The 16,843-nt window shown below is 47.2% G+C and overlaps 1 protein-coding gene and 1 long non-coding RNA gene across 2 annotated transcripts in view; one reads left to right on the top strand and one right to left on the bottom strand.

Moving 5' to 3' along the window:
- Positions 1–16,843, top strand: part of CPXM2 (carboxypeptidase X, M14 family member 2) — a 198,466-nt gene that overhangs the window by 33,848 nt on the left and 147,775 nt on the right. The window lies entirely within an intron of this gene.
- Positions 1,290–16,553, bottom strand: LOC105378534 (uncharacterized). The gene is made up of 3 exons (XR_001747622.2): positions 16,274–16,553; positions 16,013–16,179; positions 1,290–3,319 (listed from the first exon to the last, which is right to left on the bottom strand). It is a non-coding gene; the product is annotated as an uncharacterized LOC105378534 (long non-coding RNA).

The following is a 16,843-nucleotide window of genomic DNA, read 5'->3' as shown; positions in this document are numbered from 1 at the left end:
GGTGTCCAGGCATTCAAAGCAAGGCACCTGTCTGGCATGGGTGAGCAACCAAAGGCTGAGTCGGGAGATGAGGCAGGTGTGCAGGGGCGCGAATGTGCAGGTGGGCCAGCTCGGTGGGGCTGGGTTCAGTGAGGGACATTCCAGCCTCTGTCTGCCATTATGGTCTGTGGTGGCCCCACCTGTCTATGGTGGCTGCACCTGCTCCCTACACTGTCTCTGTGGGTTCGGGCGCTGCCTGGCTGCACCCACCAGTACAGGTAGGTGGCTGTGACCCTGGCAGTCCTGGGATATGGAAGCTGGGCCACCTCTCTCGAGGGCATCTTTGTTTCCACGTGCATCAGCATGGAGGGACTAAATGTTGGCATGAGATTGTGTTGAGGGCACTGCTCCATGGCCCTCATGGGTGAACACATGACTGATACTGTTCCTGGACACTGAGGAAGCCCCAAATCACCTCCATTGTCTCTGCTTTGAGAGAACATGACAGGAAGAGGAGAGTGGTTATAGTTATCCTGCCTTCATTTTATGAAAGCATTATGACTTGTTGAAAGATGTTCCTTTGGGAGCTTTTACTAGCTTTCCATTTGAGTCATTGAGGGCTGACTGTCAACTTCTGCATTTGGAGAAGTGTTGACAAAGATTTAGTACCGTACAATGGAAAGAGAAATATTCTGGAGGCTTTGAACGGCCCAGCAAACATGAGCAGCCTGGGTGAACACAATTAGAACCCAATGCAGGGCTGAAGGAAAGCAGCGCCTGGCCGGGCTTCCGCTTGTCAGGTGGAGCCTTGTGGAATATAAATTATACAGCTGCTTTCCCTTGCTGGGCATGGCACTAGTTAATTACTCAACACAGATTTTGGCAAAGAGTGTTCTTTAAAGAAAAAAAATTAAGCCTTGTGTGGACTGCAATCGGGATTTATAGAAACATAGGATTCAGGAGGTGGACTTGCTGAGGGCGAGTCCCCCCTGCAGGCCCTGAAGACCTGTTACAGGTGGGATGTGGGCTGGTAGTGTACTTTCTGGAGATCTTTCCTGGACGCTGAACCTCAGGGTGGAGGGAAGCCCGTGTCCCGAGCTACACGAATCCTGCTCTTATACTGTCTTGTGTGGGATCCGCTATGCCTGAGGTTGATGGCAGAGTGTGCCTGTGCCCAGCCAAAAGCTTGAACCTACAGCTTCAAAAGGGCAGAATTGCCTCTTAAAAGGTCAAGTCAATGCATTAGGTTATTACAAAGTATTCACTTAAATTTAGTGAGAGTTAACAATGAGCCTCCTGGCTTGTGTTTACAGCTTTAAATCTTTTTTTTTAATTGAAGATATAAGGTACTGTTAGCAAAATTTACATAGAGTGAATTAGATGTAAAGTGTACAGTTTGTTGATTGTACACTGCTGATTTATAGATTGTACATTTAACAAATGTATAATGTGTACCTGAACCATGATATGGAATATTTTCTTCACTGCAGAAGGTCTCCAGTGCCCTTCTGCCATTAAAAACCTCATGGCTGTTTAAAGCTGCAGTGAACTTGAACACATGGATAGATCCTGCCCACCTCCAGCTGTTCTGGAGAACTCTGCTCAGTTGTCTGGTCCCTGTGCAGCCATTCCTGGTACCCCAAGCAGATGGACCAGGTGGCCCCTCTCCCCACACCTGTCTCCTTGCCCCGAGCCCTCCATGGTAGCCTTGACCTCCTGGGAGGGTGGTCCTCATCTGCATGTCTGTCTCCCTACTAGGCTGCAGATTGAGTCCTTGTGGCCGACTTCCCAGAACCTGCCCGGGGTCTGGCTCTGGCATGAGCTCAGCCAGTATTTTCTGATTGAGTGATCGAATGAAGAAACTTGCAGGTGATCTGGCTTATCTGCAAACAGGATGGTTTCTGCATTTGGCCTTAGCAGAGAGTCTCTTGTCAATAGCTGCTGCTCAAGCTGTAGCCTTTGGAATCTAAGTGTTCTCACTTCCTAGTCTTTCTCCAGCAGAAGTCCCCTGCACAAGCCCCCACCCCATCCTTTCCTCCTCTCTCCTTCCCACCTGCGGCCACTCCAGGACGTCCTACTGGTGCTACCCCTAACAGTGGACTTGAATCTGTCCCCTTCTTCCCTTCTCCACAGTCCCTGTCCCATCCCAAGTCACCACTATCCCTCCCCTGCACAAGCCCCAGACTGGTCTACCAGCATCCCCACTTTCTACCCAATCCTGAATATGGTCCTTGTCACATCTCTCCCCTGTTTAAAGTCTCCTATTGAGTCCTTGCTTCCTCCCTTCCTTTCTCACTTCTTTCATTTCCTTCTTCCCCTTTTCCTTTCCTCCCCCTCCCTTCCTTCCTCCTGCTTCCCCTCTCTTCCTTTTTTCTTTTTAAAATGTTTATCAAAAGCTCTGTATGTTTTGCTGATGTATTGCCTGGTTTAGCACAATCCCCCTAGTCCCCACACTAGAAAATAAGCTCCATGAAGGCAGGGATGGTGCCTTCAGTGTACATCTGGGTGGGCGCCTTGCGGGGTCCAGTCCCTTTCTTGGCACCAAGGAGATGCTATTTGATGGGCACATGAATGAACTTGTGGGAGGGGGGGCATCTATGTTTCTGTAATGGGAATGATAGAAGACACATTTTAAACTATCCCCCAGAAATGTCAGAGCTTTTGGGGAACCTGTAGCCAGTTTCTAAGAGAAAAATGCACAGGATGGTGCCGTGTCACCTAAGTGATCCCCAGTAGGGTCAGGGTGGGACTTGGGGTGGGGGTGGGGGATTGTGCTGGTGACCACATCCTCCCTGTGCTGCGGGAGGGTGGGTAAGGACGCTGCGAGGGCCCCGCCCAGCGATGCCGCTTCTCTGTGTGTTGTCCTCCCCAAGTAAATGCAGTTTTAGGATAACATTGCATAAAGCACAGAAATGTGAGAAAAAGTAAAATCTGACTTGAATAATAGTCTCTCTTCTAATTACAGAAAGCTGTGTGGTTTGAAAGGAACAGAGTTTTCCATTAAGAGGTCTCTAAAAATAGTCTTTGTGAGTTGAACTGCCTTCTCCAGTTTCAGCCTGAATGTTAATTACACTAGCAAATCGTGTTGGCAGCAGGAGCAGGTATGTCTACCACACCGCTGTGGCAGTCTCTCGTAAACACTCGGTGCTGATGGAAGCCCTCCTGGAAACTCTACTATTTAGAACACACATGCACACACCGTGCTTCGTGTTTCCTAAGGTGCCTCTCAGCATGAACTTTGCATCAAACTTGTAGGGCAGAAACTCGTAAATCCTTTAGGTGAACTTCAGATGGGTAGCAGGCATCCACCAGGCAGCTTCTGGGCAGTTGGAAATTTCACCTGAAGAAGACAAGAGCTGGTTATTGCAAGGGAGGCAGCCAGACATCCACCTGGAAAGCAGCAAAGACATCCTCCCTAATCTCTTGATCCGGCACAATTTGGGGGTTGCTTTCCATCCTGGTCCTTGGTTTGGGACTCTGCTTTCTCTCCTAAAAGTGCATGGGGATGGCTTGAATCCTGAGGCCATGTGAGAAGTTTCTTGCATAGATTTCCTGTCTTTGGAAGGCCCCAGATCTTTTGGAGCCAAGTTTGGGGGTCTTCAGGGCACATGAGGCGAAATGAAGTATTTATTTCTGATTACTTTTTCAGTTTGGCATTCCACAGTGAGGAATTTGCAGTTTAAGTTTTATGAAGTGTTGCAGCTTCTGGATTTAATTTAAATTTTATTCCAATATCATGCACACATGCTCAGAACCTCAGAGGCAGCTGAGTGAAGCTGACATGATTTATAGCAAGGGTGTTTGGGGAACAGTGATTTGGCAGATCCATTAAGATCCCGTAGCTGTCTGGAAGAAAGGTGCTGTATCTATGAGAGTGAGGAGGCTACTGTGGGTGAGGAGGAGGAGTGAGCTGGCCTTGACTCAGCATTGGGCCTGACATTTACGTAGCGTTTCATTTTGTGAAGCACCTTGGTTCCATCTCTCTTCTAGGTAGACATTAGTGTCTCATTTTATAGATCAGGACACAGAGGCTCAGTAAGGTTAAAGAACGAGGTTAGCCTGTAGTGTGCCCATGTTGCCCTTCGGTCACATTTCTGAGGACTTCTGGGATGAAATGCATGGACTTGGGGATCCGGAGTGGGAGATGGGTGCAGGAGCAGACAGGGGGAGGCTTTCTGGAGCTGGCAAGGCTATGCCTGGCAGTGGGATGTGAGAGCAAAGGTGCGGGCCATGTGGATGACCTGCCCCCACTTCAGTACCTGGGCGTCACTGGCCGAAGGAAGAGTGGACAGACCGTCGGGAGGTGGGGCTTGGCCTGTTCACATAGAACCCGAGAGCCAGAGCTCGGGCTCTGGACATCAGCCTCAAGGTGGCCTGGAAAAACCACAGGGCTTGAGCGTGTCTCCTGAGGGGGAGATGGCAAAGGCAGCGTTTCTGGGTGAGGAGTCAGAACGCAGGAGATGGAGGATGACTGGGTGAGGGTGGGGTGGGAGGCAGGAAGGCGAGAAACAGAAGAAACTACAGGCAAGAGGGCTGGGAGGGGACCCCCAGGATGGTCTGACCCTGGCATCACAGAGACGGCTTCGTGAATAGGGAGAAGCTGCGTGGGAAGGAGCAGTGGGAATGTACGGTCACATTAGGTGGGAGGCAGCCTAGACCCAGGGGCCAGAGGAGGTCTGGAATCTCTTGTGCTGGGTTGGGCCATCCCTCGGTCATTGGCATCCTCTGCCCTGGACTGAAAGCTTCAGAGCTGTGGTCAAGCTTTATCAGAAAAGTCAGGGGCTCAAACGGCAGGGTCATCTGTCCAATGCCCGGATTGGCAGATGGGACAGCTGAGGCCTTGAAAGCCTCAGGCAAAGAGAGTGGCATCCCGAGAGCCAAAGTGGCTCCTTGTCCAGTGCTCTGTCCCTGTGCTGCACTATCTGAGACCATGGCTTTATCAGAAGGTCACACCATCCCAGCACAGAATCCAAGCAGGGCAGTCAAGCTGCTCGCGGAAGGCCTTTCATTCTGGAAGCACTGCCTGCAAATGGCCCGGCTCCCAGGCTGTGTGGCGGGGTTCATTCTTTTCTCTTCATTTCCTCTTTTTCCTTGCTGAAAGGCCCACATTAGAAATAGCCTCACTTGGGGGTATAGCTCAGCGGTAGAGCATTTGACTGCAGAAATAGCCTCACTCAGGGAAGCTCCACTTGGAATGCAAGCGCCTGGTAACAGGTGGAAAGTCCTGCTCTGTCCTTGTCTTCACGCATTTTCCAGCACACCTGCTACCTGCCACCTGCCTGACCCAGCTCCTGTCACAGGGTGAACCTCACGGACTTGTGCTTCACAGAGCACAGGAGGCTGATCCCTCACTAGGATGCAGGTGTGATGCAGAGCTCGGGCCCTCCAGGTGGGTGGGTGGGATGGGGAGGTCACAGAGGTTGGGGAAATGAGGGAGGGGCTGACATAACTAGAAGGAAGTGGTAGATGGGTGCTGGCAGAGGGGAATGCCTGATGAGAAGGTAGGAGTGCTGGATGTGTGAATGCACAAGAGTGTGATACTGAACTTGGCCAGAAAAGGAGATTCATGAATAGCAGAAGTGACAGGGAGTTTGGAGACACACGTTCAGACCAGGGTTTGGGAGAGCTCTATGGCAACCTTTACTGAACCCTCGCCCCATGCCAAGCATTGTGCTAGACACGGTCATAGCTCAGTAATAAAACACTTAGGAAGCTGACAGTGATGATGGGAATAATATAATTTGGCCCCCTGACGTCGAGGCCCTGATCCAAACACTCTGCATGTGTTAACCTGTTTACTCCCCACAACTGGTCGGTGAGGTGGGAACGATTGTTATACCCACTTTCCAGATGAAGACCCCAAGGCACAGAGAGGTGAGGTGACTGCTCCAGGACATAGCTGTGGGCAGCTGAGCCAGAACCTGCAGGGCCCACCCTCTTACCCACTGCGCCTGCGTGTCCCTTACTCAAACATCAGCACAATCGGAAAGAAGTGGCCCAGTGGAGTGTCTGCCCCGAAGGGAAAGAACAGGCTGCAGAGCCAGGAAAGAGGCAGGAAGAGTTAGTCCTGATTGAGACAGAATTTTCCAGAAAGGGGTCTCCGAGGAAGTAACATTTAAGCTGATATAGAAAAGATAAAAGATATTTTATTTATGTAATAAATAACTGGGAAGGTTTTGTTTGAACAAAAAATGGTATACTGGTTTTAATTGTTAGGCTCTTTTCATTTCACTTTCTAAGGCTCATCTATGTTTTTCTCCAAAGAGGGAGCTGAGCGTTGCATTGGAGGAGATGGGGTGAACTCACACAGCTGGGGCCGTGTGGGGGCTGGCAGGAGGGGCTCATGTCTTGGCCAGGCAAACCCACGCCAGAGTCTGAGAGCTTCCCCCAGCACATCTCCTATTTCTGTCAGGTTACAGCTACGCCTGGCAAACCTTGCTTCATTTGAATCTCTCAGCTGTTTAAAAAGTTAATTGGTTTGGCTCCACTTTTTCCTCCTTTGAGAACGAGATCTGTTGTAAAATTTCAAGTGACTGTGCCAACTGGGGAATGCTCTCTGCACATTACAAAGTCCCTTGGCCTCCCAGCCTCAGGACTCCACCAGTGTGAGATGAGGAAGAACCATGCCCTGGTCTCATGGGAATGAGAGTCCTCTTCCCCTATCCCTGAGAGGACTTCACCCATATTAAGGCAGGGACCTAAGGACTGGCTGGAGATGGCAAAGGTGGCGGGACAGGACAGGTGGGTACCCCAGATCTCAGCTGAGCCAGGAGGCCAGGAGAGGACACTCAAGAGGAAATGCAGTCCAGGCCATGTGCATTTTGAAAGTCAATTTCAGTGCATGATTGTTTATTGAGCACCTACTGTGTGCCAAGCACTGGGATAGGCTCTGAGGATGCAGAGAGGAATCAGACTTTGCATCCTGCTCTTAAGGTCTTTGCATCCAGCCATCCAACTCCAACCAGCATTTACTGAGCACCTTCTGCATGCAAGAGGGATGCCAACAGCCCTGGAGGAGGTAATTGGGTAGCAGGGATCCCTCTGTGGCCTAGGCCCAGGACAAGGTACTCTGTGTCCTATGGCCAGGACAAGGTCCTCTGTGCCCTATGCCTAGGACAAGGTCATGAGGGCTGGGAAAGCCACATTAGGGGAGCTGTGGGAGCCTGGGAACAGGGACACAGGACCTCACCCGCTGCAATCATGGAGGGCTCCCCCAGGAGGAGGCGTTAGAGTTGGGCTTCGATGTGCAAGTAGGTGTTTGCTGTGAAGGGAAGTGCCAGAGGGTACTCCAGGTGGTGGCAACTATGTCTGCAAAGGCAAGGCACTGACAAGGGAAGAATGAAAGGGCACGGTGGGGAGGTGGCCTTTGTTCTCCAGGCAGTAATGAGCATGTGCTTTACACTGACAGGCTAAGACAATCATCATGAAGAATGACAACAGCCGCGAGCCTTTCCTGAGTGTTCACTCTGTGTCGCGGTCTGAATGTTTGTGTTTCCCCTGTCAAATTCATATGTTGAAATCCCCAACCCCAAGGCAATGATATTAGATGGAGCTTTGGGGGAGGTGATTAAGTCATGAGGGAGGAGCCCGCATGAATGGGATCAGTGCCCTTATAAAGAGGCCCAAGGGTGCTTGTGTGCCCCTTCCAGCATATGAGGATGCAGCGAGGAGCTGCCATCTGTGAAATGGGCCCTCACCAGACTCCGAATCTGCCAGTATCTTGCTCTTGGGACTTCCAGCCTCCGGAACTGTGAGAAATGAATTACTGTTGTTTATAGGCCCCCGTCTATAGTATTCTGTTATAGCAGCCCTAATGGACTAAGACACTATATGCCAAGATTTACTCTAAGCTGTTACATGCATTATTTTATTAAATTCTCACCATAATTCTCTATCAGGTTAGGACAGGATTCCCCCACTCTGCAGATGTGTAAACTAAGGCTAAGTTGGTGAGGTCAGCCTGCTCTAGGCTTTCCAGCTAGCGTGGGAAGAGTCAGAATGGGAGGCGCTCAGGCCCATGTCAGATTACTCCCCTGGGTAACCTGCCTGTGAGCTGCATGACCTCGCCTGGCCCACTCCAAGTTCAGAAAACCCCATTTAGAAGCTCTTTATATACTGAAATATAAAATTTAAACACTTCCATATTTGACACCCTTCACCCCCAATAAGAGCAAAAATGCTATTTTATCCACTATAGTTTGTAAGCTTAGGTTTGAAAAACATTTAAACATTTTATCCAGGTTGCGACAGTGGTTACTTCAGTGGGATACTCTGCACAAAAGTTCTCTGGAAAACAGTTCGGAGGAAAGAGACTTCATTCCAGTGAACAGTTTGCAATTCAGGCAAATGAAAAATTCAGCCCCGCTTACCTCCGAGTGATGACACAGCTGAGTTCTGATTGGTCAATATAACTGAGCCCTGATTGGTCAATACAGCTGAGCCTTGATTGGTTGATACAGCTGGTCTCTGATTGGCACAAGCAGGTGAACTCTGATTGGTTGGTTCAGGTGCTCTGTGAAAGTCCCGAAGTTAAACAGAGGTATTGTTTTTCAGGAACTCAGAGTTATGTGTGTGACCTCTCTACTCAGCAAATGGCCACTTGACTGTATTTTAAATTTTGGCTCAGTTAGCCAGTGGTGATCCATCTTGAAAGATTGGCTCTTTCAGGTTCACATTTGTTCACAATACCCAAAGCATCAGATATTTGAACTTGAAAGTTAACCTTCTCAGAAACAGAAATGGTTTCTTAGCTACCAAGCTTATAATGCAATGTGAAAACTTGCCTTCATTTGCATAGGGGAAAACACACACACACACACACACACACACACACACACACACACACACAAACTTGCTTGGATGGAAGGAAAACAAGGTGTTTGCTGCTCCCAGGAGCTCCTTCTCTGTTATGCCTCAGCCCTGGAAAAACACTGGGTCTCAGCATGTGATTTACAACTGGAGCTAGTCAGTGAAGCCCAGGTGTGAAGGAACGATGCCAAAGCTCTCTCTTTTTAAAATTGTATTTCCTGATTGTGCCCCTAAGGGTAGATGTAATTCAATTGGATTTAAACTACTATGCCTCTGCTTTGATGTATGTTCAGTATTATGATCTCAGGTAATTGCAGCTTGAGAATTAGTGATCTATTTTTCTTACTGTGTAAGGGTATTTATATTACAAAGTCCCTGGAGGGCAAAAGGACATATTAGAAATGCTTTTAATACATTGCATTTGTTTGCTTATTCTTTATGTCTCTTCCTAAAAGCAATCAGAAAATTATAAAAGAATAAAATGTTAATCCTCTTTACCAGATAATTAGTGTGGGCTGACTCTAGAATGAAATGCCATAAAAAAGGATCGATTCATTCAATTCAGTAGAAAAGAAAAAAAAATCTGTTAGGTTGGTTTTGCCAAGTCTTACTTTTTCAAACGGTAACATGTAGAAATTGTTTCAGTGACTTGTGTCCTGAGTTAATGTAATATTCTCTATTGGCACAAGCATTTTAATAAAAAATGCTTTTCAGCTAAACTTATTTTAAATTTATTTTCATTGGACTCATAATCTTTTATGTCTTTTATATAAACCTTTAATTATGACAGACACATGTTTGGGAATGTCAGGAGCATGCGTCTGCTCTCCCAGTGGGTGGTACCCATCTGAATCCTCACCAGCAGTGCTGGGGTGCCCCAAAACTCCACACCGTCATCAACACTTGACACCATCCAGCTCTCTGATTTTTGCCCAGCTAATAGTTGTCAGATGACACCTCTTCATTTAAATTTGCATTTCTCTGGTTACTAATGGCTTTGAGCATTTCTTTATATGTAGTTAGCCTTTTGAGTTTTCACTTCTGTAAATAGCCTGTTCATAGCTTTTGCCCATTTTCCTATCAGGAGTCCGCCCTTTCTTCCTTATGTATCATGGATATTAATTTTTTGGCCAGGCGTGGTGGCTCATGCCTGTAATCCCAGCACTTTGGGAGGCCAAAGCAGGCAGATCACTTGAGCCCAGAAGATTAAGACCAGCCTGGCCAACATGGTGAAACCCCTTCCCTACTAAAAATACAAAAATTTTCTGGGCATGGTGGCAGGTTCCTGTAATCCCAACTACTAGGGAAGCTGAGGCAGGAGAATTGCTTGAACCTGGGAGGCAGAGTTTGCAGAGAGCCAAGATCACGTCACTACACTTCAGCCTGGGTGACAGGGCGAGACTCCGTCTCCAAAAAAAATTTTTTTTGTTAGACATTGCAGGTATTGTCTCCCAATATGTTATCTGCCTGTTCATTTTGTTCAGTGTGTCCTTTGTAGAACATTAATCTTTTATCTTGATATAAGTAACCTCATTAATTCCTCCTCTTCTTATTTTTGCCTTATGGTTTGTGCTTCTGAGGTTTTTATTTAACAAGTTTTTCCTCATCTCTAGGTTACAAAGATATGTTTATACACTTTCTATTATTGTTATGGTTTCACTTTTCACATTTAGTTTTTTAATCCATTTGGAGTCCACTTTCGTGTGTGGTAAGGATCCAGTTTTAGTTTTTTCCATATGAGAGCCAAGTTTCCCAAGGTCACATGGTAAAGAATCCACCTTGATGTGTAACATTCTCAGTCTTCCCTTCCTTCCCCTTCCTCCCAGGGTCTCACTGCGTTGTCCAGGCTGGTCTCAAATTTCTGGGCTTAAGTGATCCTCTCACCTCGGCCTCGCAAAGTGCTGGGGTTAGAGGCATGAGCCACCATGCCCAGCAAGAATTGAATCTTTGATCCCAAGTTGCCCATGCAAGAGCATAGGTATCTTTCCATTGTTCAGGACATCTTTAAACAGATGCTGTATATTATGAACTGCTTTTCTAATTCAGATAATTCATTGATTTAGATAATCATACAACCTTTTCCTTTTGATCTGTTGACACGATAAATTACATAGGTCGATTTTTCTACCATTGAACCATTTCTGTATTCCTGAAATAAAGCCTACTTAATTATACTTTATGGATTTTATGTATAATTTATGGATTTTATGTATACTTTATGTATTTTAAAAAATAAGCTATTGGATTCAGTTAGCTAATATTTGACTTAAGATTTTTAGTGTCTATATAACGAAATGAGCCTTTTATATTCTTTTCTAATAATTTCATTCTCTGGTTTTAGAATTAAGATTACATTAGCATAATAAAATTATCTAAGTAGATTTCCCTCTTTTTCTATTTTCTGTAAAAGGAAACTTTCAGGCCGGGTGCGGTGGCGGGTGCCTGTAATCCCAGCACTTTGGGAGGCTGAGGCAGGCAGATCACCTGAGGTCAGGAGTTCGAGACCAGCCTGGGCAACGTGGTGAACCCCCATCTGCGCTATGAAAAAATACAAAAACTTAGCTGGGCATGGTGGTGCATGCCTATAATCCCAGCTACTTGGGAGGCTGAGGCAGGAGAATTGTTTGAACCTGAGAGGTTGATGTTGCAGTGAGGCAAGATCGTGCCATTGCACTCCAGCCTGGGCGACAAGAGCGAAACTCCATCTTAAAAAAGAAAAAGAAAGAAAGAAAACTTTCTATAAGGTGGGAATTTCAGCTTTTAAAAAAGTTTAGTAAATTCAACTGGAAAATTGAAAAATGATCTGGAACTTTTGTTTGTTTGTTTGTTTTTGGAGACAGAGTCTCACTCTGTTGCCCAGGCTGGATTGCAGTGGTGTATTATAGCTCACTATAACCTCAAGCTCCTGGGCTCAAGTGATCCTCCTGTCTCAGCCTCCCAAGTAGCTAAGACTACAGGTGCACATCATCACTCCTGGCTAATTAAAAAGATATATATATTTTTTTGAGATAAGGTCTCACTGTGCTGCTCAGGCTGGAGTTCAGTGGCTATTCACAGATGTGATTATAGAGTACTACAGCCTTGAACTCCTGGGCTTAAGCGATCTTCTTGCCTCAGCCTCTCAAGTAGTTGGGACTACAGGTGTGTGCCATTGCGCCTGGCTTAGAATTTTTTTTAATAAAGATTGTTTGACGCCCATTTTAATTGATTTAATATTATTGGTCTGTTCAGGTTCTCTATTTTTGTGTCAGCTGTAGCATTTTATATTTTTCTAGGAATTTATTAGATTTTCAAAGTCATTAGGTTCATTAGTTTATTATATTTTTAGTCTCTATCCTACCAAGTTCAGTGTCTCTTGTGTGGTGGGGAGAGGCAGAGATGTTCTCTTGCAGAAACATCAGTGAGACCCCTGGCGTGGAGTCTGATTGCCCGACAGCAGACTACAGGTGTGGGAGGTCTCTCCCAGCCCTGGGGCCTCATAGAGTGTGTGGACCAACTGCATTTGGCACTGCTGTTTCAGAGAGCCCCGTACCTTGACTGGGAGGATAGAAAGAGGGATGCCTGAACTCAGACCTTCCAAACCCTTGCTTCTGATTCTGGGCCAGAGCATGGCAGCCCTGCCCATGTGGCAGTGATGAGCCGGGGGCCGGGGCAGCATCTTCCTCTGCTTTGCTTCTTGGCTTCTCACGCTGAGTTCCTCTTCATGCAAATCTCAACTCCATGAAGATGATTTTGCTTCTTGTCTTTCGGGCTTCATGCATTAAGTGACCACAGAAGCAGCTCCAGAACTTCTAAATTTAAAGAACTTAGATCTTGAGCACTCCTGATGGATGGAGAGGCTTGAGATTTACTGGAAGCTAAAGCCACCCCCACCCATGACCACCCCAGTGTGCCCATGCTGCACCCTGACACACTATGCCACTCCGCCCAAGCTCATCTCGGGTTGCCTGATGGGCCACAGTTCCCTTTGGCTTGAGACTGTAACATGAGTGATGGAGGCAGAAATTTTGGAGTGAAACAGTTGGGGGTTCAACTGACTCGATCATTTGTTAATTACATGACCTTCAGCAAGAGACTTAGCCACTTCTAGATTCCTCAGCTGTAAGATAGGGGGAGCTATTCTCCCCTCACAAAGCTTTGGGAGGATGATATCAGTCAGAGACCCAGCAGGAAACAGAGGCACACACAGATGACAGGTGAATTAAATGAAGTGCAGAGGTGTGGTCAGGGATGTGGAGACAAACAGTGATATTGAGGCTCCCGAGACTAATGAGTGGAGGCTCAGTCTGTGAGGAAGTCATGTCCCTCCATAGGACTGCAGGGCTAGAGTTGAGGAAGTGGGTTTCAGGGAAGCCCAAGGATCCAGCCACCACTAGGACCCCTGGGCCAAAGTGGGTGGGGGGCATGGAAGGGTGGGGGTGGGGGAAGGGGATGAAATACCCAGAGCCCTTTCTCCTCACCTTCCTATCTCTATTGGGCAATCCCAATCAGAAACCAGAGGACAAGGGGACAAATTTACAAGGGGCAGCCTCCCAGCCTCCCAGATACAGAGGCAAGCCCAGAGGGCTGGAGACCAGAGGCAGTGCAAACAGAGAACCCAGCTTACAAAGGTCAAATGTGATCACTTCTGTAAATGATCCTGCACATAGTAGGTGGCCAAGAAACACAGTGCCTCCAAGGCCGCTCAGCAGGCTCCGGTGTATCCTGCGTTCAGTGTCTCCCTGGGTGCCTGTTCATGTGGTTTCTTAGGAGCTTTTGCAACAGCATCTTACTGTTTACAAATGGAATATCTCATGCCAAAGCAAGTGTCCCAAAGGTCAAATTGAAAATGAAACCACAGAGTGGAGGCAATAGTGAGGAGAGGAATTAAGTTGCAAGAGGGACCCATGAACTAAGAATAAGGCTTATCAAAAGATGCCAAATGTACAGGGTATGGGAGTAAGAACAAACATGCTGAAAATTAAATATGAAATGGGTAATTATGTAGTAATGAGATTGAGGACATCACAAAGGACACTGCCATTTAAACTATCACATCTCAACACAGTAATGAACGAGAAAAACCCTCCAGCTTTGTAATTATAATGATAGTTGCCATAACAACTTAGTATCTCTCTCCCTGTGCATCCATCTCAAGACTATATTTTTAGTAATGGCTGTGCCTGAGTATGTATTTTTCTTTATATAGCAGCTAATTTTTCAAATTAATGATCTTTCAAAAAATTCCATTTTCATTCTCTCTGAAAGTGTAAGAGTCTCAGGGATAATTAGGGAAATGAGCAGGTGTGAAAAGTCCGTAATGAAAAATGCTATAAAAATATTGATGTCTTGACAATATTTGTTTCAACAGAATGTTCTCTAGACCTGCACACTCTATTGTTCCTTGCCAAGCAGCTTAACATAAATCTCCTTTGTGGGGCTCATAAATATTTGAAAAATTATTAGCCGTGTAAGGTGTTTGAGGATTATCAGACAAGTATGGATTTATGTTGTATAACAGAAACTGGCTTAGCAGAATCCTGTCTAAGGGATGAATGAATGGACAAACATGGGCTTATTTTGCTTAGCAGAAGTGCACTTAGCAGATTCTCAATTGAGGCAAACAATGGTTGACTTTAAAGAACACCATTTGAAGAACTCAGAAACTGGGGGGGATTCTGAACTGCCACTTTGGTTTCCCAGTTTGCCCCCATTACTACCCCCGACTGGTGTGTCTGGTTTATAGCACGGCTGACATCCAGGGAGAATCAGTGCTTTCTGGAGTTCTACTTACACTACGCGGAGAGACTCACAGCCCCTCCTGAGGGTTCCAGTCCTGAGTTAAACAGACAAATTATTAGATTGAGAACAAAAAAGTCCTAGAGAGAAACATTCTTTGGCTGATGCCGTGAAAGACTCTAGGCAAGATTAGTTATGCAGAAGGAGTTATTGAAATTTTCTGTGTTTCTTATATTCTGTTGGTTTCTGTGGAAGATGCAAAGTTAGCATATTATAATAATCACAGAGCTTATCAGTGCTGTGCAGGAGGCCATTAAGAGTCTGTCTTGGCCGGGCATGGTGGCTCACGCCTGTAATCCCAGCACTTTGGGAGGCCAAGGCGGGTGGATCACCTGAGGTCAGAAGTTCGAGACCAGCCTGACCAACATGGTGAAACCCTGTCTGTATGAAAAATATAAAAATTAGCTGGGTGTGGTGGTAGGCACCTGTAATCCCAGCTACTTGGGAGGCTGTGGCAGGAGAACTGCTTGAAGCCAGGAGACAGAGGTTGCCGTGAGCCGACATGGTGCCACTGCACTCAAGCCAGGGTGACAAAGTGAGACTCTGTCAAAAAAAAAAAAAAAAAAAAAAGAAAAAAAAGAAAAAAAAAAGAATCTGTCTTATGGTTGTTGCCCAGTGGCAAGTGGAAAGAGCCAAGTTTGAGTGAGCTGGTGAGCCTTGAACCTTACCTAGAGGGGTTAGGTTTACTTGGGATTGGTTAGCCCTGCAGATTCTTCGGTCGGGGAGCAAGGTTGTTAACGGGTGTTTAGGGAGAATGAATGGCTTGTTGCCTTGAAGGAAGAGTGGACGGCAGATCAGAGAGGCCCAAACAGCGAGACCTGCTGAGCACGGATTCCCATCATCTGCCATGGGTCTCTGAACCATGGGCTGAGTGATGGGCAGTGGGAACAGAGGAAGAGGCAGATTAAAGAATGTGTGCCATGAGAGCAGCAGGACTTACTGCTATGTATTAGAAGGTGAAGGAGAGATGGGGCCAAGATGACCAGGGAGGTCTTCATCTGAGAAGCTGAAGAACGCAGGACCCTCCCAGGCAGATAGGTGAGAGTTGGGAGAAAGAATAAGGCTTGCAAACCAAGAGAATGAGGTCAGCTTTGCCGCCCTATCTTCCTAAACTTCATGAGCTCTGACTGTGCCTTGCACCTTTCCAGGACGGGCAGCACCAGAGAGAGGGAGCCAGAGGTAGACAAAGGAGGCTCCAGGAACAGTGCCGTGGGCTTCTGTGTTGGGAGAACTGGCATCAGTGCAATCGATTCTTGTTCTATTTGTCCTACTTGCTTTAATTATGTGTCTCTCCAGGGAAAACAAACAAGCAAGCATTGATAGGGAGAGCAGTAATAAGTGGGACTCATTTCTTTATTCCAGGGACATGTTGAGAGGCATGTTTGGGTAGGGCCTTCTCTGGACACTTACCAGACACTGCAGAGCGGGTATATGTTATGTTACTCACCTAAGAGGTGCTGAAAAGCGGTAAAGTGTCTTCAGGACTCATGGGCTTGGGGCCATTGGGATGTATATGGCCTGACTTTAAATATTGGTTAAAGGCAGCAGAGCAGGGTTAGTCCTGGCCATCACTAGCTTGCTGTGTGTCCTCAGGTAAATCTGGGCCTCAGGATCCTGTGTAAAATGAGAGGGAGAAGATTCATCTTAAATTTGGATGCTATCAGAATTACCTGAGGAACTTCTTAGATATGCTAGTACTTGAACCCACTCTTTAGGAGATTCTGAAGGTCTGGGGTGCCGCCTGGGTGTCGGTCTGCTGTTGAGCAAGCTCTGGGGGTTCTGATGGAGGTGGTGCAGGGCACCGTCCTGGCCTGGGCTGCCTCTGCAGTCCCTCTGGCCAGGATGCCAGGCCAGCCTCTTGTTAGCGCTTCACACAGCTCGCTGGAACGCTGGGTGTGTTGCTTGCTGCTGGAGCCGCTTTCTGTTTCACCACTAAAGACTGTGTTGTCGTCTGGAGTGCCTGGCTTCAGATAAAACAGTCCCCAGGAGTGAGCCCTGGGGATAGGCCATGGAGGAGGGTGGGTGGGGATCCAGGAAGGGTTGGGGAGCAAAGAGTGGTGGGTGGGGAAGGGGACCCTCCTGCCCTCTCACCCTGAGGACTTCTGCTGGCTCTGGATTCCAGAGCGTCCTGGGGGTTTGACAGGCAGGACCAAGGCCTCCTGGTCCCTGCAGACAGGCCCTGCCTCAACCAGCAGCCTCCTCCTCTCCCTCTGGTCATTCTGCTTTGGCCTTCAAACTGGAAGCCTGGAAGACTGGCCCTAAAAGATGGCCTGGTGGA

Source organism: Homo sapiens, chromosome 10, assembly GCF_000001405.40.
Source record: "Homo sapiens chromosome 10, GRCh38.p14 Primary Assembly".
NCBI classification, from domain to species: domain Eukaryota; kingdom Metazoa; phylum Chordata; class Mammalia; order Primates; family Hominidae; genus Homo; species Homo sapiens.
This window is presented reverse-complemented; position numbering and strand designations above follow the sequence as displayed.